The sequence below is a fragment of the Homo sapiens genome, chromosome 16 (genome assembly GCF_000001405.40).
Source record: "Homo sapiens chromosome 16, GRCh38.p14 Primary Assembly".
Lineage (NCBI taxonomy): Eukaryota > Metazoa > Chordata > Mammalia > Primates > Hominidae > Homo > Homo sapiens.
This window is the reverse complement of record NC_000016.10, coordinates 53,053,609-53,074,175: the sequence shown is the minus strand read 5'-3', so window position 1 is coordinate 53,074,175 and position 20,567 is coordinate 53,053,609. Positions and strand designations below refer to the sequence as shown.

The following is a 20,567-nucleotide window of genomic DNA, read 5'->3' as shown; positions in this document are numbered from 1 at the left end:
AGGGCAAAATGCCACCAGTCTCTTTGCTAAAACATAAAGAAGAGTCACCTTTGCTCCAGTTCCCAACAAGTTCCTTAACTCTATCTGAGACCACCTCAGCCTCGATTTCATTGTCCATATCATTATCAGTATTTTGTCAAAGCCATTCAACAAGTCTCTAGGAAGTTCCAAACTTTCCCACATTTTCGTGTCTTCTTCTGAGCCCTCCAAACTGTTCCAATCTCTGCCTATTACCCAGTTCCAAAGTCGCTTCCACATTTTTGGGTATCTTTTCAGCAGCGCCCCACTCTACTGGTACCAATTTACTGTATTAGTCTGTTTTTACACTGCTGATAAAGACATACATGAGACTAGGAAGAAAAGGAGGTTTAATTGTTCCACATGGCTGAGGAGGCCTCAGAATTATGGTGGGAGGCAAAAGGCACTTCTTACATGGCAGCAGTTAGAGAAAATGAGAAAGATGCAAAAGCAAAAACCCCTGATAAACCCATCAGATCTCATGAGACTTATTCACTACCACGAGAACAGTACTGAGGAAACCATCCCATGATTCAAATTATCTCCAACTGGGCCGCTCCCACCACAGGTGGGAATTATGGGAATACAGTTCAAGATGAGATTTGGGTGGGGACACAGAGCCAAACCATATTACCATATGATCTAGCAGTTCCACTTCTGGATATATATTCAAAAATATTGAAAACAGAGTCTCAAAGAGATATTTGTACATTCACATTCATAGCAGCATCATTCACAACAGTCAAGAGGTAGAAGCAATCCAAGTGAACATCAACAGACAAATGGATAAGACTGTGGTACATAAACATATACAGTGGAATAGTATTCAGCCTTAAAAGGAAGGAAATGCTGACATAGGCTACGACACGGATGAACCTTGAGGTCATCACGCTAAGTAAAATTAGCCAGTCACCAAAAACAAATACTATCTGATTCCACTGGTATGAGGCACTCAGAGTAGTCAAATTCATAGAGACACACAGCAGATTGGCTGTTGCCAGGGCTACGGGGAGGCGAAAATAGAAAGTTAGTGTTTAACGGGTACAGAGTTTTAGTTTTACAAGATGAAAGGAATTCTAGAGATGGATAGTGGTGATGGTTACACATCACTATGAATATATTTAATATCACAGAACCATAGATATGAAAATGGTTATAGGGATGGCCGGGCGTGGTGGCTGAAGCCTATAATCTCAGCACTTTGGGAGACCGAGGCGGGTGGATCACCTGAGGTAAGGAGTTCAATACCAGCCTGGCTAACATGGTGAAACCACGTCTCTACTAAAAATACAAAAATTAGCTGGGCGTGGTGGCAGGCGCCTGTAGTCCCAGCTACTCAGGAGGCTGAGGCAGGAGAATTGCTTGAACCCGGGAGGTGGAGTTTGCAGTGAGCCAAGATTGTGCCACTGCACTGTAGCCTGGGCAAAGAGCTAGACTCTGTCTCAAAAAAAAATAAAAAAAATAAAAAAATAAAAAGTTATAGGCTGGGCATAGTGGCTCATACCTATAATCCCAGCATTTTGGGAAGCTGAGGCAAGAGGATTGCTTGAACCCAGGAGTTCGAGACCAGGCAACATATTGAGACCCTGTCTCTACAAAAAATTAAAAAGTTAGCCAGGCATGGTGGGGTGGGGTGAGGTGGGGTTGGGGGTCGCTTGAGCCCAGGAGTTAGAGGCTACAGTGAGCTATATGATTACACCACTGTACTCTAGCCTGAGCAACAGAGCAAGACCCTGCCTCAAAAAAAAAAAAAAAAAAGTTATGGTGATAAATTTTACATGTATTTTTTAAATTGGAAAAAAATATTGCAGGGATCCCAATTATAAAAAAAAAAAAAGACTTATGGCTTTCCTTCCAAAGTAGAAAGGCAGAAATGGAAAAATGAGTTTTGGTTGCTATGGAAATAGGAGTTGGCTGGGCCTGCAGGAGCAGCAGCTGGAGGGGAACAAGTGGCCGGGAAGTTGGCCCTGTGACAGAGGGGGGCTTCCGGCTGGGGATAAGACAACAACAGACTTCAGCAGGGAGAGTAGGAGGTAGAAAGAAGAAAGAAAAGGAGACAGAGTCTGTCTCTAGACACTGGCGCCTATGAATTCTGCAGACATTTGGATACAGAGGTGGGTGTGCATGCATGTGTGTCTGTGTTGCACATGTATCCCCAGAGGCCAGAAAAACAAGATGCACAATAAACTCAATGCCTGAAAAAGAACACAGTTTCACCAGCTGTCCTGAGGGTAAGAAAGCCCCCAAACCGTTGAGTGACAGAAGAGGAAAGGCCTGCCGTTGAAATGCTTTCTGGGGTATGGGGAAATGCCTGAGTAGGGCTGGCCATCACACTGTGTTCCCTCACCTTTGTCCTCAGCACAGTTCTTCAAACTGAAACCGAGGTGGGCCAGAAAGACAGACAACAAAATCCCCGCAGGGTGAGCAGGACCGAGGGGTGGGCGAGCTGATGGCTCTCTTTCTTCTGCAGCTCTGAGTGACTGTTTCTGCTTCAGTCTCCATGATGCTGGGGCTCTGGGGTCTTCTAGCCTGAGGCTTTAAAGGCACCTGAATGTTCTCAGAATCACTTTCTGGGAAGATGTATTGATTATGCCTATAGTGATGACAAGTCTTTGCTGGCCCCCAGGAGGGCTCACCTGAGGGAATATTTTACTATTCCCATTCCTACCCCAGGAAGAGGAACTCGCAAACCCTTTCTTACAATCACAGTGGGGTGAATGGGTAGGGGCTCACATTTTTGAAATGACTTAAACCTAGGCTTTTGACTCTATATAACACTGTCATTGTCTATATAACACCATCTCTGAGACACACTGAAGGGACCAAACAGTTCAAAATGACTACCATATTAGTATCCTGTTTTGCATTTCTTCATTTTTAAATATATCAAGAGCCTCAAAAATGAATGTGAGTATTGAAAAGAACATAATACTTAGGAATAAATTTAATCAAGGAGGTGAACGTCTTCTACACCAAAAACTACAAAACACTGGTGAAAGAAGTTAAAGAAGATATAAGTAAATGGAAAGACATCCCATGATGACTTGGAAGACATAATATTGAGATGTCAGTGCTACCCAAAGTGATCTACAGAGTCAATGTAATTGCTATCAAAATCTCAATGACTTTTTGCAGAAATAGAAAAATCCACCCTAAAATTCATAAGCAATCCCAAGGGACCCCAAATAGCCAAAATAATCATGAAAAAGAACAAATCTGGAGGACTCACACATCCTGATTTCAAAACTTACTACAAAGCTACAGTAATCAAAGCAATGTAGTATTTGCATAAAGAAAGACATATGGCCAGGTGCGGTGGCTCATGCCTGTTATCCCAGCACTTTGGGAGGCCAAGACAGGCGGATCACTTGAGGTCAGGAGTTTGAGACCAGCCTGGCCAACATGGTGAAATCTTGTTTCTACTAAAACTACAAAAATTAGCTGGGCATGGTGGTGCATGTCTGTAGTCCAGCTATTCAGGAAGCTGAGGCAAGAGAATCACATGAACCCGGGAGGCAGAGGTTGCAGTGAGCCAAGATCACGCCATTACACTCCAGCCTGGGTGACAGAGCAAGACTCCAAAAAAAAGAAAGACAGAAAGAAAGAGAGAGAGAGAGAGAGAGAGGAAGGAAGGAAGGAAGGAAGGAAGGAAGGAAGGAAGGAAGGAAAGAAAGAAAGAAAGAAAGACATGCTACTCGTGCAAAAAAATGAAGTTGTATCCTTAACCTTACATGACATACAAAAAGTAACTCAAAATGGATCAAAAACTTAAAATATAAGAGCTAAAACCATAACACTCTTAGAAGAAAATATAGAGGGAAAACTTTATGACATTGATTTGGCAATGATTTCTTGAATACAACACCAAAAGCACAAAAGAAAAAAATACATAAATTAAACATTAAAATTAAAAACTTCTGTGCATTCAAAGGACATAATTAACAGACTAAAAAGGCAATCCACAGAGAAAATACTTGGAATTGTTATCTGGTAAGGGACTGATACCCAAAATAGATAAAGAACCCCACAACTCAACAACAAAGAAACAAACAACCCAGCCTGATTTTAAAAATCAGCAAATACCTTGAATAGATATTTTTCCAAGGAAGATATACAAATGGCCAGTAAGCGCATGAAAAGATGCTCAACATCACTAATCATTAGAAAACTGAAAATCAAAACCACAATGAGATACCACTTCACACCAGGATAGGACACCTATGATCAAAAAAAACCACACACAAACAAACAGAAAATAACAAACGTTGACAAGGATGTGGAGAAATGGAAACCTTGGTGCATTGTTGGTGGGATGTAAAATGGTACAGCAGCTGTTGAAAATGATATGATGATTCCTTGAAAAATGGCACACAGAATTACCATAAGATCCAGCAATTCCATTATAGGTATATATTCAACAGAATTGCAAGTAGGAACATAAACAGATATCTATACACCCATGTTCATAGCAGTGTTATTCACAATAGCCAAAAAGTGGAAGTAACCCAAGTGTCCACCAACAGATGAATGGATAAACACACTGTGGCAGATACATACCACAGTCTATTAAAATGGAATATGAACCTTGAAGACATTAGGCTTAGTGAAATAAGCCAGTCACTAAAGGATAAATACTGTGTAATTCTACCTAGATGAGGTACCCAGAGTAGTCAAACTCACAAAGACAGAAAGTAAAATGGTGGTTGCCAGGGATGGGGTTAAGGGGGAAGGGGAGTTGTTTAATGGGGACAGAGTTTCAGCTTGGGAAGATGAAAAAGAGTTCTGGAGATGGATAGTGGTGATGGTTGTACAACAATGTGAACGCACTTAATGCATTGAACTAAAGAAAATGCAGGCTGGGCGCGGTGGCTCATGCCTGTAGTCCCAGCATTTTGGGAAGCCGAGGTGGGTGGATCACTTGAGGTTAGGAGTTTGAGACCAGCCTGGCCACATGGTGAAACCTTGTCTCTAGTAAAAATACAAAAATTAGCTGGGCGTGGTGGCACATGCCTGTAATCCCAGCTACTCTGGAGGCTGAGGCAAGGAGAATTGCTGAACCTGGGAGGCAGAGGTTGCAGTAAGCCAAGATGGCACCACTGCAGTACAGCCTGGGCAGTAGAGCAAGACCCTGTCTCAAAAATAAAATAAAATAAAATAAAATAAAAGAAGAAAATGCATTAAGATGGTTAAAATGGTAAATTTCAATGTCATGTGTATTTTACCACAATAAAATATGTGGATATATATAAAATAGTGGAAGTGACCTACGGTCAGCCTCTCAACCTCTGCAAAGTTCGGCCCACAGAGGCTGCCCAGTTAGGCCCAGTTAGCATTCAGGATATGGCATTTCCCCTACTTCCTTTGTCTTGTCAAAACTTACCGCAGGTATAAACAAGACCGCAAGCTTGCACTGAGCCCAGTGTGTGCAGGTGGGAGAGAAAGATGAACAAAGACGAGAATTGTTCAGGGAGAGGACAGTGCACCTTGCTTTGACAATGGGTTAAAAGTGATGAGGGCTGCAGAATATGAGGGAATACAGTGGAGTGGGTGCTGTGGCAGTTCCCAGGAGGAGAGAGGACTTCTTGCCTGGCTCTCTTGGGTGGTGTCACAGAGGAAGTGGTGCTTAAGGTGGGTTTGAGAGAATGAGGATATGCAGATGTGTGGCTTGGTAGAGGGCACTTTAGCGGGCCCTGTGTTTAGCTGAAGTACTGTGTGACTGAGAGGCAGAGGTGGGAGAGAATGCTGGATCGGCGGGGAAGAGAATGTGACCAGTGAGAATGCAACTCGGTGCAGGAATATCTGCCACACAAGCCTGTTGTCTTGCAACCTTGAAAAGTGGTGTTTGGATCTGGAGTCAGATCCAGAAGGAACTTGAATGGCAGACTAACAACAATAACAACTTCTATTCATAGAGGACTACTATGTGCCTGTTATTTAATAACCTTAAGCAGCAGGTAGTGATATTAGCTCTATATTTCAGCTGAGAAAACTGAGGCTCAGGAGGTTAAGCAACATATCCAAGGTCAAACACAGCCAGTAAGTGATGGAAGTGGGGTAGGAATCCAGGCCTACATGGGTTTCAAATTTTTATTTATTTATTTTTGAGACAGGGTCTGGCTGTGCCAGGCTGGAGGACAGTGGCACAATCTTAGCTCACTGCAGACTTGACCTCCTGGGCTCAAGCAATTCTCCTGCCTCAGCACCCCAAGTAGCTGGTACCACAGGCACATGCCACCATGCCCAGCTAATTTTTTTTTCCTGTGGAGTTGGGGTCTCACTATGTTGCCCAGGCTAGTCCCAAACTCCTGGGCTCTAGTGTGGGCTGCTCAGTGACTTCCTTCCAAGAGGACACTATGAAAAGGAGGAAAATGAGTTAACTTTACCGTGGAGAAACCTGACAAACGCTACCTTAGCCACCTGGTAATAAGTCATGTTGATAGTACAGATGCTTGATGTGATGTGATAAAGATGGCACTTTACTTCTGTGGTCTTCCGCGTCAAAACCCACAACCCTAATCATGAGAAAAATATGAGATGAATTCCAGTAGAGGAGTATTTTACAATATATCTGACCAGTATTCCTCAAAACTCTCCAGGTTATCAAAACCAAGAAAATTCATAGAAAATGTCACAGTCAATGGGAGACTAAGGACACACAACAAACAAATGTAAAGTGGTTTCAAGCCCATTTTTGTTGGTATAAAAAAAAAGATATAAATGTAATTTGGTATTCTGGATGGGATCCTGGGACAGAAAACGAACATTAAATAAACACTAAGGGTATCTGAATAAACTATGTTTTTAGTTAATAATAATGTATCAATATCAGGTTGTAACAAATGTACCATATCAAATATCAATATCAGTTAATTGTAACAAATGTACCATAGCAATATAAGATGTTAATAACAGGATAGACCGGCTCTGTGGCTCATGTCTGTAATCCCAACACTTTGGGAAGTCGAGGCAGGCAGACTGCATGAGCCCGGGAGTTCAAGACCAGCCTGGGTAACACAGCAAGACCCCATATCTACCATAAATAAAAATATTAGTTGGACATAGTGGTGTGCGCCTGTAGTCCCAGCTACTTGGGAGGCTGACGTGGGAGGATGGCTTGAGCCCAGGAGGCAGAGGTTGCAGTGAGCCAAGATCGCACCATTGCACTTCACCTGGGTGACAGAGAGAGACCTTGTCTCAAAATTTAAAAAATAATAATAATAGGGGAAATTGGATGTGGAATATGTGGGAATTCTGTAGTATTGTCTCAATTTTTTTTTGTAAATCTAAATTGTACCAAAAATATATAAAGTCTTTCAAAAACAAATTCCTGAGTCACATCCTCAGAAACTGGCCCGCTAACATGCATTGACACAGGTGTAATGGACTTGTGAATGATGACAGCCTCTCTGTCCCTGACTGCTGATTGACCAAAGAGAAGGAGCGGACACAGCAATGCCTGCAGAGAAGAAGCTATAGCTCACACCAAGAAGACTGTATGGCTCTCCTCCCAGACTCCCTGAGGTTAAATATGGTGCCTCTCTCATTAGACTAGCAGCCTTCCTAGGGCAAGAGCTGGGTTTCCCCTGTGAGACCGGGCAGGAGCCACCTCTCCTCCAGGAGCTCAAGGTCTCTCTCAGCTCCAGGTGCCACTGATTCTCCGTATGTGTTTATTTTTCTTTTAGGTAAGTCCATTTCTCTATATGGGTAGAAAGAGAGGCCATGTACATAATGTACATTTTTTAAGGCTGGTAAAAGGTCTGCTTGCTTCAAAATACTGACTCCTAACTCTTTAGTTAAGCATAACCAATGTTAAAAAGCAGCAAACTCGATGACTTGGGTTTAGTGCCTAAATTTCCTCTGCTGACTTGCTGCTTTCCTTTGTACCCCAGGCCCCAGTCATAACTGAGTGATAACAGTAGTAAGAGTTTAAAATTGTGATGCTGCCGATTCTATATTTCAGCAGAGAAAACTAGGCTCAGGAGGTTAAGCAACTCATCCAAGGTCACACACAACCAGTAAGTGATGGAACTGGGGTAGGAATCCCAGTTTGTTTGATAATGGAACAAACCCCAGCACCCCAGCAAATTGCCTGTTGATTGCAAGAAGTTCTTACTCGTGGGTATGCAGTAAGCCACCCCAAAATACGAGGAGAGTAGATATCAGTGAACTGCACGCAACATCTGTGATTACTGATTTGCAGAAGTCCTTAAGGACAGGACAGGATGTGTCTCTGGACAAAGCTGGAAGAGCAAAGCCTGGAAATTAAATCAAGACTCAACAAAACAAAAAGCGAGCCAATTGCATTAACAAAAGCTGAAGGAATCATAGGTAGAGAGAAATGGTGATGCGTGAGGAGCTCCAAAAAGGCAGTACCAAAGAGCAAGTCTTTGAGAGTCATTGTCTTCCACATTGTCCAGAGTAGTGGAAACTCTGAAAACCTCCTTGAGTATTACAGGCAGCTCAGAGGTCTGGCCAGAGCTTCCAGGAATACTCTCTTCCTTTTTTTTTTTTTTTTTTTTAATTTAAGACAGAATCTGGCTTTGTTTCCCAGGCTGGAGTGCAGTGGTGTGATCAGAGCTCACTGCAGCTTCAATCTCCCAGGCTCAAGCAATCCTCCCACCCAGCCTCCCAAGTAACTGAGACTACAGGTGCTCGCCCACACATCCAGCTCATTTTTAAATTTTTTTGTAGAGATGGGGTGTCACTATATTGCCCTGGCTGATTTTGAACTCCTGGGCTCAAGCAATCCTTCTGCCTTTGTCTCCCAAAGTGCTGGGATTACAGGCATGAGCCACCGCACAGGGCCAGAATACTCTCTTGCTAAGAATCTTAGGGCTGGCCCAGGGAGCAGTAGGAAGGAAAAGATGCAGTGATTGATCAGACATTTCTACCACAAGCACAGGAAGGGGCAATTATACTAGCAGTGCTGCCACTCTAGACTCTTGTATCCCTCAGAGGGTACAAATATCTTAGGTTTTCCTGGTGATTAAAATCACTCATTTTGCTCACCTTGCTTTGATTCCACAAAAACCAACCTTCTAACTAGATTCTGACTTTCCCACAGGAGAAAGAGTGTGCTGACAAGTCAGCATGGAGGTTTCAGACTGCTTTGCAGTTGCTTCTCCCCTTGTGATTTCTTTCTCACTCCCTCTCTTTTTCTTTCTCTCTCTCTCTCTCTTTCTTTCTTTCTTGACAGAGTCTTGCTCTGTCGCCCAGGCTGGAGTGCAATGGTGCGATCTCAGCTCACTGCAACCTCCAACTCCTGTGTTCAGCTGATTCTCCTGCCTCAGCCTCCCAAGTAGCTGTGATTACAGGCATGTGCCACCTGGCTAATTTTTCTATTTTTAGTAGAGACGGGGTTTCACCATGTTGGCCAGGCTGGTCTCGAACTCCTGACCTCAGGTGATCCACCCACCTTGGCCTCCCAAAGTGCTGGGATTACAGGCATGAGCCACTGTGCCCAGCCTCCCTTGTGATTTAATACATTTGCAGCCTGGCTTCCTCACCAGGCTCTGGTGAATTTGGTTAGTCCGCCCCTTTCAGCCTGGTTAGCTCCAAGTGCACTAAAGAACCTTCATCTCTGGCCTGCAGAGAACCAGGTTCACCAGCCTCCAGCCCACTGTACTGCTGGCCCTAGGGGGCTTTTCCCTGATTGACAGCTGGCCCCCCTTTTTGATGTCACTCTCAAGCTGCCCTTTGCCATGTCAGTCACCCCAATCACACCCTCCCTACCCTGAGCCCCTGGAATGAGCTGTGGGAAACCTGCAAAAAAAAGTGCTACGACAACAAAATAACTTTATAGGTTCTGCTGAAGAAACAAGAATAAAGAAGAGGCCCTGTGCTGGAGGGGAAGAGGCCAAGAACATGCAACAGAAACTAGTAGAAGGAACTGGCAATGTTTAATCTAGAGCACAGAAGATCTGGGAAGGCCAACCAGTTCTCTGTCATCAAATATCTGAAGAACTGTGGTGATGAAAAGGGAATAGATTGATCTTCTGAGGCTCTAAAGAAAATATGCCAACCAGGCCATATATGGTGGCTCATGCCTGTAATTCCAGAACTTTGGGAGGCTGAGGCAGGAGGATCATTTGAGGCCAGGAGTTTGAGACCAGCCTGGGCAACACAGCCAGACCTGTTTCTACCAAAAAAAAAAAATTAGCTGGGCATGGTGGCTCATAGGTCTGTACCCCCAGCTACTCTGGAGGCTGAGGTGGGAGGATGGCCAGAGCCTAGGAGTTTAAGCTTCAGTGAGCTATGATCACAACACTGGACTCCAGCCTAGGCAACAGAGTGAGATCCTGTCTTTCTTAAAAAAAAAAAAAAAAAAGGCCAGGCATGGTGGCTTATGCCTGTAATCCCAGCATTTTGGGAGGCCGAGATGGGCGGGTCACGAGGTCAGGAGATTGAGACCAGCCTGGCTAACATGGTGAAACCCCATCTCTACTAAAAATACAAAAAATTAGCCGGGCGTGGTGGCGGGCGCCTGTAGTCCCAGCTACTGAGGAGGCTGAGGCAGGAGAATGGCGTGAACCCGAAGGCGGAGCTTGCAGTGAGCCAAGATTGCGCCACTGCACTCCAGCCTGGGCGACAGAGCGAGACTCTGTCTCAAAAAAATAAAAATAAAAATAAAAAAATAAAGAAAAAGAAAAAGTATGGCAACCAAAGGGCAGTAGATACAGGGAGACAGAAAAAATGGGGAACCTTTTAGGGCAGTTTTCCCCTAACTTCAGTTATTCAAATATCACCTTCACATTTTGTGTGTGTGTGTGTGTGTGTGTGTGTGTGTGTGTGTGTGTGTGAAATTTATGAGAAGCAGCATAATTCTGCAATTTAGAGCACAAATCTGGAGCAGGACCACCTGGGTTTATTTTCCAGCTCATCACTTCCTAGCTATATAACTTTGGGCACGTTATTTAACTTCTCTATGCCTGTTTGCTCAGTAGTAACATGGGGCAAAGAGTCCCTACCTCAAATAGTACTTAACCCATATTGGTGAGGATTAATTGAATGATTTGAATGACGCATGGAAAGTGCTTAGAAGAGCATCCAGCACTTAGTAAGTACCCAGTAAGTGGTGGGTATTTTATACATATATATTTTTCTAATAAAATTCTTTTATTTTTTATTTTATTTTTTTGAGACGGAGTTTCACTCTTGTTGCCCAGGCTAGAGTGCAATGGCGCGATCTTGGCTCACCACAACCTCTGCCTCCCGGGTCCAAGCGATTCTTCCCTTAGCCTCCCGAGTATCTGGGATTACAGGCATGTGCCTGGCTAATTTTGTATTTTTAGTAGAGATGGGGTTTCTCCATGTTGGTCAGGCTGGTTTCAATCTCCCAACCTCAGGTGATCAGCCCTCCTTGGCCTCCCAAAGTGCTGGGATTACAGGCGTGAGCCATCGCACCCGGCTCCATAAATTTTTATTTTTAAATAATTGGGGTCTTCCTGGAGTGCAGTGGCATGATCATAGCTCACTGTAACCTCGAACTCCTGGGCTTAAACCATCCTCCCACCTCAGCCTCCTGAGTAGCTGGATTACAGGCATGCATCACTACACCCAGGTAATTTTTAAAATGTTTTGTAGAGATGGGGTCTCACTATGTTGCCCAGGCTGGTGTCCAACTCCTGGCTTCAAGTGACCTCCCTGCGTGTACCTCCCAAAGTATTAGGATTACAGGCATGAGCCACTGCACCTGGCCTATTATATTTTATTCTATCCTCATACCATTGATACTCTTATTTAATATTTTTCTTTAAATGGACACACGATTTATATACATTTATTTTAAGGGAAACGTTATATTACTACCATACATGAAAAGCCATGTACAGGTGGAAACTGTAAAGATAAACATAACAGCAAACAATGTTATTAGATTGTTACAGTTTTAACAATGTTATTAAATGGTCACACTTACTGTTGCCTCTTAAATGCCCTGAACTGGAGGACTGCTGTCTTTCCAATGAAAGAGGAGACAATCAAGTGTTACAGTAGCATTCTAGTACTTTGCCCAGACTTCTGTTGGCTGCAGTCAGAAGCAAGAGTCCCAGTCCCACAAGTTGGAGGAAGTGAAAGGCCAGCGTGGGTGGAGCACCTGCTCTGGGGAGAGAGGGCAGCCCCAGGGGTGAGAGGCGGGCAGAGCAGGATCAAAGAGACAGCTCAAAAGGGAAAAATCCCTTTCCCATTCTGAGACTTTGTGCTCTTGGGTACCATGTCTCTCTCTGTGCCACACCAAAGCCATCTCACAAGACCCCTTGTGGTATGAGTTGCACATCTTAGAAAGCAAAGTCAGAAACACTTTGTTGGAGACACTATGGGTGCCCCACCCATACTCCTCAGCTCACCCGAGGTTACCTGCAGACATTTCCAGATGCCCTGGGCTACCTTTCACTTCTGCTTTAAGTTATTTTCTGGCTTCAGGGTGTGCACAGCAGACAGTTAGCAAGACAACCCTCAATAATGAGGTATGAGAGTCGAGGATATACCCCAGTCTCCCTGCCTTTTCGTGGGACACTTCTGAAATATTTTCTATAGTCTCGCTAAGGGTCCCTGAGGGATGGAGACCCAATTGCCCAGTGGTAACTCACTCATCAACACCTTTTTTATTGGCTTTTCTCCCTTTCTCGGTTAATTTCACTCTCACTGGGCTTCCTGGGATCATTTCCGAAATACATTTCTGGCACCTGAATCCTTTTCTCGTGATCTGCTTTGGGGGAAACTACAACTATGACACAGCTTTAAACTTCTGTCAGTGGAATGAGTTGCCCAGTGAGATGTGAAGTTCCATCTTACTGAGGACTCAAGAAATGGCTGACAATGTTCAATGGAGATTCACAGGTCAGGTAAAGACTCAAATCAGATGAACACTTAGTATTCCTTTTGTGTGTCTGTCTTTTTTGTTTGTTTTTTTGTTTTAAAGAGACAGCATCTTGGCCAGGCGAGGTGGCTCATGCCTGTAATCCTAGCACTTTGGGAGGCCAAGGCGGGTGAATCACCTGAGGTCAGGAGTTCGAGACCAGCCTGGCCAACATGGCGAAACCCCATCTCCACTAAATACACAAAAATTAGCCAGGCATGGCAGTGGGCACCTATAATTCCAGCTACTTGGGAAACTGAGGCAGGAGAATCGCTTGAACCCGGGGGGGCGGAGGTTGCAGTGAGCTGAGATCATGCCATTTCACTTCAGCCTGGGCAAAAGAGTGAAACTCCGTCTCAAAAAAAAAAAAAAAAAAAAAAAGAGACAACATCTTGCCCTGTCACCTAGGCTGGAGTGCGGTGGTGCAATCATGGCTCACTATAGTCTCAAACTCCTGGTCTGAAGTGATCCTCCCCCGTCAGCTTCCCAAGTAGCTGGGGCTGCAGGTGCATGCCACCATGCCCAGCTAATTTTCGTTTGTTTTTTGAGACAGGGTCCCCCTCAGTTGCCCAGGCTGGAGCGCAGTGGCATGATCATGGCTCATTGCAACCTCAAACTCCTCAGCTCAATTGATTCGCTTACCTCAGCCTCCTGAGTAGCTGGGACTACAGGTGCACCACCACACCTGGCTAATTTTTCATTTTTTTGTAGATATGGGGTCTTGCTATGTTGCCCAGGCTGGTCTGGAACTTCTAGACTCAAGTAATCCTCCCACCTCAGCCCCCCAAAGTTCTGGAATTACAGGTGTGAGCCACCAATCCAGGCCCCAGCTAATTTTTAAAATTTTTAAAATAGAAATGAGGTCTCACTATGTTGCCCAGGCTGACCTTGAACTCCTGGCCTCAAGCAATCCTCCTGCCTCAGCTTCACAAAGTGCTGGGGCTACAGGCATGAGCCACTGCACCCAACCTACCTAGTATCCTTCTGATCCTCAGGTCTCATTATTCGGGATCAGGAGTCAGCAAACTACAGCCCACAGGCCACATCCAGCCTACTGCCTGTTTTTGTATAGCCTGTGAGCTAAGAATGGTTTTTACATTATTTATTTGTTTGTTTGTTTGTAGAGATGGGGGTCTTGCTATGTTGCCCAGGCTGGTCTTGAACTCCTGGCCCCAAGCAATCCTCCCTCCTTGGTCTTCCAAAGTCCTGGGATCACAGATATGAGCCACCATGCCTGGCCAGCTTTTACATTTTTAAATGGTTGAAAAAAATGTTTAAAGAATAATATTTTGTGACACAGAAAAATTATGTGAAATTCAAAACTTCAGTGTCCATAAAGCTTTATTGGAACCCAGATATACTCATTTGTTTACATACCATCTACGGCTGCTTTTACTCTACAGTGGCAGTTTCTCATCAACATTACAAGAAACGACGTTACTTGGACTTACTGTACGTCATTTCGCTTAAAGTTGCAGTTTCTAAGAACCTAACGAGGACATTAATTGAGAATTTACTGCAGTTGCAACTGAAACCCTATGGTCCATAAAGCTCAAAATATTTACTCTCTGGACCTTTACAGAAAAAGTTTGCTGATGCCTGTTCACGGTCATTATCCTGCAGAGACAAGAGGCAGATTGAGGCCTGGCTGCCCCATGAGTGGGGAGGCCGATGCCCAGACCTAGTATTTGGGGGCAGTTTGAATCAGAACCTCACATTTCCTTTTGCCACATCTTTATGACCATGGTCATTACTCCCACCCTCTGCAAGTACCTAAGACTCTTTCACAGAGGAATTCATGTCTTTATACCAGTAATATTTTTTGACTAAATTTTTTTTCCATTTTTCTTGTTGTTAAAGATAGAGGTGGGGGTCTCACTATGTTGCCCAGGCTAGTCTTGAACTCTTGGCCTCAAGCATTCCTCCCACTTCTGCTTCCCAAAGTGCTGGGATTACAGGCATATGCCACTGTGCCCAGCCACCAGAAATATTTTTCTTTTTTAAAGGACATGAGAAATTTTCTTCTCCACACCCTGCCACTATCCCACGTGGTTTCATCGACGCTTGATCACTTTCACCACCACTTAGTTACTGATTTCTCCCCAGAACAAACCAAACCTCCAGCCCACGTCCTGAGATTTCTGATCAATACCCAAATGTTGGCCAGGTAAGGTAGATCATGCTTGTAATCTCAGTGCTTTGAGAGGCCAAGGCAGGAGAAACACTTGAGTCTAGGAGTTGGAGACCAGCCTAGGCAACACAGTAAGACCCTACTTAAAAAATTAGCTGGGCATGATGGTGTGCACCTGTAGCCCCAGCTACTTGGCTGGGTGGGAGGATCCCTCGAGCTCAGGAGGTTGAGGCTGCAGTAGCTATGATCATACCACTACAGGAGGCATGGGTGACAGAGCAAGACCCTGTGTCTTAAAAACAACAACAAAAGAAACCAAAAACCAACAAAACAAAACAAAACAAAAAACCCAAATGTCTGGTCAACATTAGATTAAGTTGGAGGGTGGGGGGTGTTGCTGCTTACCAGCAGTGCAACTTTGGGCAAGTCATTTAACAGCATGGAACGTCAATTTCATCATCTCTCAAAGGCGGAAATGATCCTGTCCAACCTGCCAGGATTACCGTGCTAATCGGATGAAATGAGAGCTGCCCACAAGACACTGAGCCGCCTGGCCCCAGCCTCTCTCCCTTTCACCACCACACTCCCTGCCCACTGGCTCTCCTTGAGTCCCCTGGCCTTGCCAAGCTCTTGGCTATCTCTGTACATGCTGACCTTTCTGCCAGAAACATCTTTTTCTAACCCCACCTTCTGCCTGGCAGATCAATGCATAACCTTTGTTTATGTGTGTTTCTGTTTAAAGATACCTTATAGGCCAGGTGCTGTGGCTTGAGCCTGTAATCCTAGCACTTTGGAGGCCAAAGTGGGTGATCACCTGAGGTCGGGAGCTCGAGACCAGCCTGGGCAACATGGTGAAACCTCGTCTCTACTAAAAATACAAAAATTAGCTGGGCGTGGTGGCATGTGCCTGTAGTACCAGCTACATGGGAGGCTGAGGCAGGAGAATCGCTTGAACTCCAGAGGTGGAGACTGCAGTGAGCTGACATCGTGCCACTGCACTCCAGCCTGGGAGACAGAGTGAGACTCCATCTCAAAAAAACAAAAACAAAGACAAAAGACACCTTATTTGATATATATTGTTGATATATATACATATTATTCATTAACACTGAACTCAGCCAACTGCACTATAACTCATGCCTGAACGAAGCTTACCTAACAGACAAGCTTTCTCTGTAAGGCACATCGCAGCCTTCTCATACTTAGGAACACTAGACAGCACGTCAACTGTACACTTGGGGCCATTTCAAACAGCGACATCACAAACAAAAACACACAAACATGCAAAAAATGTGGCACTAAGTACACCACAAAAGGGACACTTGTTTATAGCACAAGAGCTGAAACCAGAAAGCAGCGTGTCCTCCTGTTTGCCCTTGGCTGGAAATGTGCACGTTGGGTGACTCAACTTTTTCACTATTCTACGTGCATCCATATATGACTGTGAAAGTGTCATGGATATTGATTTGGAAGTTACGCAGACATTATTTTTCTTTTTTCTTTCTTTTTTTTTTTTGAGATGGAGTTTCGCTGTTGTTGCCCAGGCTGGAGTACAATGGCGTGATCTTGGCTCACTGCAACTTCCACCTCCCAGGTTCAAGCAATTCTCCTGCCTCAGCCTCCCAAGCAGCTGGGATTACGGGCTCTTGCCACCACGCCCAGCTAATTTTTTGAATTTTTAGTAGAGACGGGGTTTTGCCATGTTGGCCAGGCTGGTCTCGAACTCTTGACCTCAGGTATCCACCCACCTCGGCCTCCCAAAGTGCTGGGATTACAGGCATGAGCCACTGCACCCGGCCTTTTTTCCTCTTTTTTTTTTTAAATGAGCCAAGGTCTCTCTATGCTGTCCAGGCTGGTCTCAAACTCCTTAGCTCAAGTGATTAGGCTGGTGTCAAACTCCTAAATTCAAACTCCTAACCTCACACCTCAGTCTCCCAAAGTGCTGGGATTACAGGTGTGAGCCACCACACCCGGCCACAAACATATTTTTTTAAAAATTCTTTAATTATATAATTTTTAAAATAAAGATATAGGGTCTTACTGTGTTACCCAGGCTGATCTGGAACTCCTAGCCTCAAGTAATCTTTCTGCCTCAGCTTCCCAAAGTACTGGGATTATATGCATGAGCCACCATGCCTGGCCACAAACAAATTTTTTTTAAGAATTATTCAATGTGTATAATTTTTAAGCAAACAGGGCCTTGCTCTGTTGCACAGGCTGATCTGAAACTCCTAGCCTCAAGCGATCCTCCTGCCTCAGCCTCTCAAAGTGCTGGGATTACAGGGAAGAATTTGCAAATTTAGAACTTGTGAATAATGAGAATCTACTGCACTTTCTTCCTGTTTCTCTCATTCGGGGCTGGCTGAATTCTGTCTTACTCATATTTTATCTCTAGCATCTGGAAAACTGCCTGGCCCACAGTAGGCTCTCAATAATAAATGTATTTCCAATGAGCGAATGAGTCAATTCAGTGGAAGTGCTCAGCTCACAGCAGTGATAGCTAGTGTTTGTGAAGACACACCACGCGCCTGCCCCGTGCACGCTGTCCTGGTCAACAAGGGAAACAGCAGAGTATTGTTCTTTTGCACCTGAGCTCAAGAGCAGACTGCCTGGGTTCAAATATGGGACATGCTTCTTATTAATTAATTATATAACTTCGAGCAAGATCATTGGCCTCTCTGAGCCTCAGTTTCCTTGGCTATCAAATGCAGTATTCATAGTTCTACCGTGGAAGTTATGGTCAGGAGTCTAACTTGGCCCTGCACAGAAAGCCTCTAGCATAGGGTGAACCCTTAGTAAACAGTAGCTTTTATTGTGAATAATTCCCAAGGCAACCCGATTTTCACACCCATTTTGCAGATACAAAAACTGAAGCTGAGGATGGTTCAGTGAGTTTCCAAGGTCACAAAGGAAGGGCTGCCTATGGGGGGGAATCTATGCCCATGTTAGTAACACTGCTGTTATATAAACATAAGGGGTCAGCGGGGCGCAGCGGCTCATGCCTATAATCCCAGCACTTTGGGAGGCCGAGGCTGGAGAATGGCTTGAGCCTAGGAGTTTGAGACCATCCTGGGGAATATAGTGAGGCCCTATCTCTATAAAACAAACAAACATAAGGGCTCATTTTTACTAGTTGTAAAAGGGCCCTTTTACTAGTTGTAAAAAAGGCTCGTTATAAGGCCTCTCACTGCCTAATCAGCTAGGTTTGCCAAAATGAGGAAGACAGCTCCAGCCAGTCTCCTGATCTTCTCTGGGATCAGGGTGGGGAGGAACCCCCTTCCTACCCATAAACCCCTAAGAGTCTTCGCTCACATTCCACACTGGTGTCTTTCTGTTCCTTGTCCACTTTCGAGTTCAACCCTTTCAGAACCAGCCCTACTGTGGGGGGTGGGGGATGGTTAGTTTGTTATCTTGGGTTTGACAGTACAAAGGCAGAGGCATTTCCTGCTTAAAAGGCACATGAGAAAGGAGGAGGAGGGCGAACTGGAGGAATAGGAGGAGGAGGGAATCATCAGCATTCTGGGTTAGAACAAACAAATGTCCTCCGTTTTTCTCCAACTCCTTAGATCAAGGGTCCTCAAATTTGGCTGCCAGCTGGAATCTCTTGCAAACATTTTAATACCCAGATGTCCAGTCCCCCACCCAGACCAATCACATCTGAGTCTCTGGGGGGGGGCGGGGGTGGAACTAGGGCATCGGTATTTTTTTAATGCTTCCCAAGCAACGCCAACGGGCAGACAAGTTTAAGAAGTGGTGCTCTGGACCTTATCAGCACTCGGCTGCCACCCTGGAGTGGCTCTGGGCGACAGTGGCTGCTTTCCGCTTCGAGGACGCCCGGCTTGGGGATTCGGGCATGCTCTGGGAGGCGAGGGCTGGGGAGGATGCGAGCGTGCCAGCGACCTGGTGCTCTGCCTTGCTCTAGGCCCAGCTCCGAGGCTGCGGGTCTCTGGGTCCCCCCCACGGCTACAACACGTGCTGCCGCCCCGACTCCTCCGGTTATCTCTGCAGACCGCAAGCGGTGCCCAGCGGCCGCCCCGCTGTCCACCCCGACCTCAGAGGCTCCAGGGAGACGCCCGGGGCTCAGGAATCCTACCTTGGCTGCCGGCGCTGCCCTCCAGTCCCCGGAATCCTGGGACTCAGGTTCGAGCTGTCGCTGTCGCTGTCGCTGCGCCTGTGAAGCGCCCACTAGAGCGCAGGCGCCACCTAGTGGGCGCGGGGCGGCTGCGCAGGGACCGCGCTGGCAGGCGGGAGCGCAGTCCAGGGCGGAAATGCAGCCAGGGCTTCTTCCCACGTGGGCGGTTTTCCAGCGCGCCGCCAGCCCTGTGGCCAGATCCGGCCTGGGGCGGGACCACCTTCACCCGCTGCGGGGCACTGGGATCTAAACTTGGTGAACTTTCTCTTGGGGCACGGAGGGACCCCTCGGCCTGGTATCCATCCTCCGGTTTTCCGGGCTGAGCACAAGGATCTTTCCCTTCATCCAGCAGCTTTCAGTGCACCCCACCTTTGGCACTGCTTCTCTTTTAAATGTGCTGGGACCATCCGAGGCTGGGGTTCTCTCCAACCCAGGGAGGCCCTTCGCCTATCAGCAACCATTTTTTCCTGCCACCCCCTAAACCGTCCCTGAATGAGAGAAACAGCCTGCTCTGCTGGCTTGCTCTACAGAGGCCAGGACTGGTGGAGGATGGGTGTGTGCCAGCGACCTCGTGCTCTGCTCTGCTGGAAGGCCTTCTCTGAGCAGTGGAAGGGGAAGGGGCGGCTTAAGGGAATTGTGTTTTTTGTTTTTTGTTTTGTTTTGTTTTGTTTTTGTAGAGACAAGGTCTCTCTATGTTGCCCTGGTGGCTCTTGAACTCCTGGTCTCAAGCGATCCTCTCACCTGCAGCCTCCCAAAGCACTGGGATTACCGGAGTAAACTATGGCTCCCAGCTGCCTGGTATTCTTTCAATGAAGACATGCCAAAACGCTTACAAATATGGTGGACATTTAATGGTTTATATTTCATTTATGTCTTCATTTAACAACGATTAACTGAGCACCTACTATGTGCCACTTTTCTACAATCAAGGGATACAATGAAGAACAAAACACAAAAATCTCTGCTTTTGTTGAATTCACATTTAATGTAACACATGAATACTTTTAACACACCCAACGATCTAATGCAAAGCGATTGAGCTCGTTGTGAGATAAGTAGAGGATTTATTAAAAATATCTATATTTAGGGCCAGGCACCGTAGCTCACGCCTGTAATCCCAGCACTTTGGAAGGCTGAGGCAAGAGGATCGCTTGAGGTCAGGAGTTTGAGACCAGCCTAGCCAACATGGCAAAACCCAGTCTCTACAAAAAATACAAAAATTAGCCGGGCGTGGTGGCAGGAGCCTGTAATCCCAACTACTCCAAGGCTGAGGTGGGAGAATCCCTTGAACCCGGAAGGAGGAGGTTGCAGTGAGCTGAGATCGCACCACTGCACTCCAGCCTGGGTGACAGAGTGAGACTCTGCCTCAAAATCAATCAATCAATCAATCAATCAATCTATGTTTAGGGCGCCAAGGGCAGACATTCCTG

The 20,567-nt window shown here is 45.6% G+C and overlaps 1 protein-coding gene across 28 annotated transcripts in view, besides 9 other annotated features; it reads right to left on the bottom strand.

Annotated features, from left to right (window-relative positions):
* The window catches only part of CHD9 (chromodomain helicase DNA binding protein 9), a 272,507-nt gene extending 253,322 nt beyond the window's left edge, over positions 1-19,185 (bottom strand). For 27 of the 28 annotated variants that reach the window (XR_007064921.1, NR_168117.1, NR_168123.1 and 24 more), the window contains exon 1: positions 19,099-19,185. The gene's annotated coding sequence lies outside the window, so the exon portion shown is untranslated. Of the gene's footprint in view, positions 1-6,426; positions 6,531-19,098 lie in introns of all 28 variants that reach the window. The other variant, NR_168111.1, reaches the window with a different exon arrangement.
* Positions 1,915-2,074: an enhancer, noted in NCBI's record as "active region_10836". NCBI's record gives its function as "activates an Ori minimal core promoter by ATAC-STARR-seq in GM12878 lymphoblastoid cells {active_cell/tissue: GM12878}" and the evidence as "EXISTENCE:reporter gene assay evidence [ECO:0000049][PMID:35858748]".
* Positions 9,197-9,256: an enhancer, noted in NCBI's record as "active region_10835". NCBI's record gives its function as "activates an Ori minimal core promoter by ATAC-STARR-seq in GM12878 lymphoblastoid cells {active_cell/tissue: GM12878}" and the evidence as "EXISTENCE:reporter gene assay evidence [ECO:0000049][PMID:35858748]".
* Positions 11,961-12,320: an enhancer, noted in NCBI's record as "active region_10834". NCBI's record gives its function as "activates an Ori minimal core promoter by ATAC-STARR-seq in GM12878 lymphoblastoid cells {active_cell/tissue: GM12878}" and the evidence as "EXISTENCE:reporter gene assay evidence [ECO:0000049][PMID:35858748]".
* Positions 12,581-12,630: an enhancer, noted in NCBI's record as "active region_10833". NCBI's record gives its function as "activates an Ori minimal core promoter by ATAC-STARR-seq in GM12878 lymphoblastoid cells {active_cell/tissue: GM12878}" and the evidence as "EXISTENCE:reporter gene assay evidence [ECO:0000049][PMID:35858748]".
* Positions 12,741-12,800: an enhancer, noted in NCBI's record as "active region_10832". NCBI's record gives its function as "activates an Ori minimal core promoter by ATAC-STARR-seq in GM12878 lymphoblastoid cells {active_cell/tissue: GM12878}" and the evidence as "EXISTENCE:reporter gene assay evidence [ECO:0000049][PMID:35858748]".
* Positions 13,325-13,551: a silencer, noted in NCBI's record as "fragment chr16:53094537-53094763 (GRCh37/hg19 assembly coordinates)". NCBI's record gives its function as "represses an EF-1alpha promoter that drives an FKBP-Casp9 reporter gene in an ReSE screen in K562 erythroleukemia cells {active_cell/tissue: K562}" and the evidence as "EXISTENCE:reporter gene assay evidence [ECO:0000049][PMID:32094911]".
* Positions 16,098-16,147: an enhancer, noted in NCBI's record as "active region_10831". NCBI's record gives its function as "activates an Ori minimal core promoter by ATAC-STARR-seq in GM12878 lymphoblastoid cells {active_cell/tissue: GM12878}" and the evidence as "EXISTENCE:reporter gene assay evidence [ECO:0000049][PMID:35858748]".
* Positions 18,360-18,891: an enhancer, noted in NCBI's record as "H3K27ac hESC enhancer chr16:53089197-53089728 (GRCh37/hg19 assembly coordinates)". NCBI's record gives its function as "activates a minimal SCP1, AML or CMV promoter by ChIP-STARR-seq in primed H9 embryonic stem cells {active_cell/tissue: H9 hESC(primed)}" and the evidence as "EXISTENCE:reporter gene assay evidence [ECO:0000049][PMID:30033119]".
* Positions 18,798-18,847: an enhancer, noted in NCBI's record as "active region_10830". NCBI's record gives its function as "activates an Ori minimal core promoter by ATAC-STARR-seq in GM12878 lymphoblastoid cells {active_cell/tissue: GM12878}" and the evidence as "EXISTENCE:reporter gene assay evidence [ECO:0000049][PMID:35858748]".
* Positions 19,186-20,567: the final 1,382 nt, after the last annotated feature.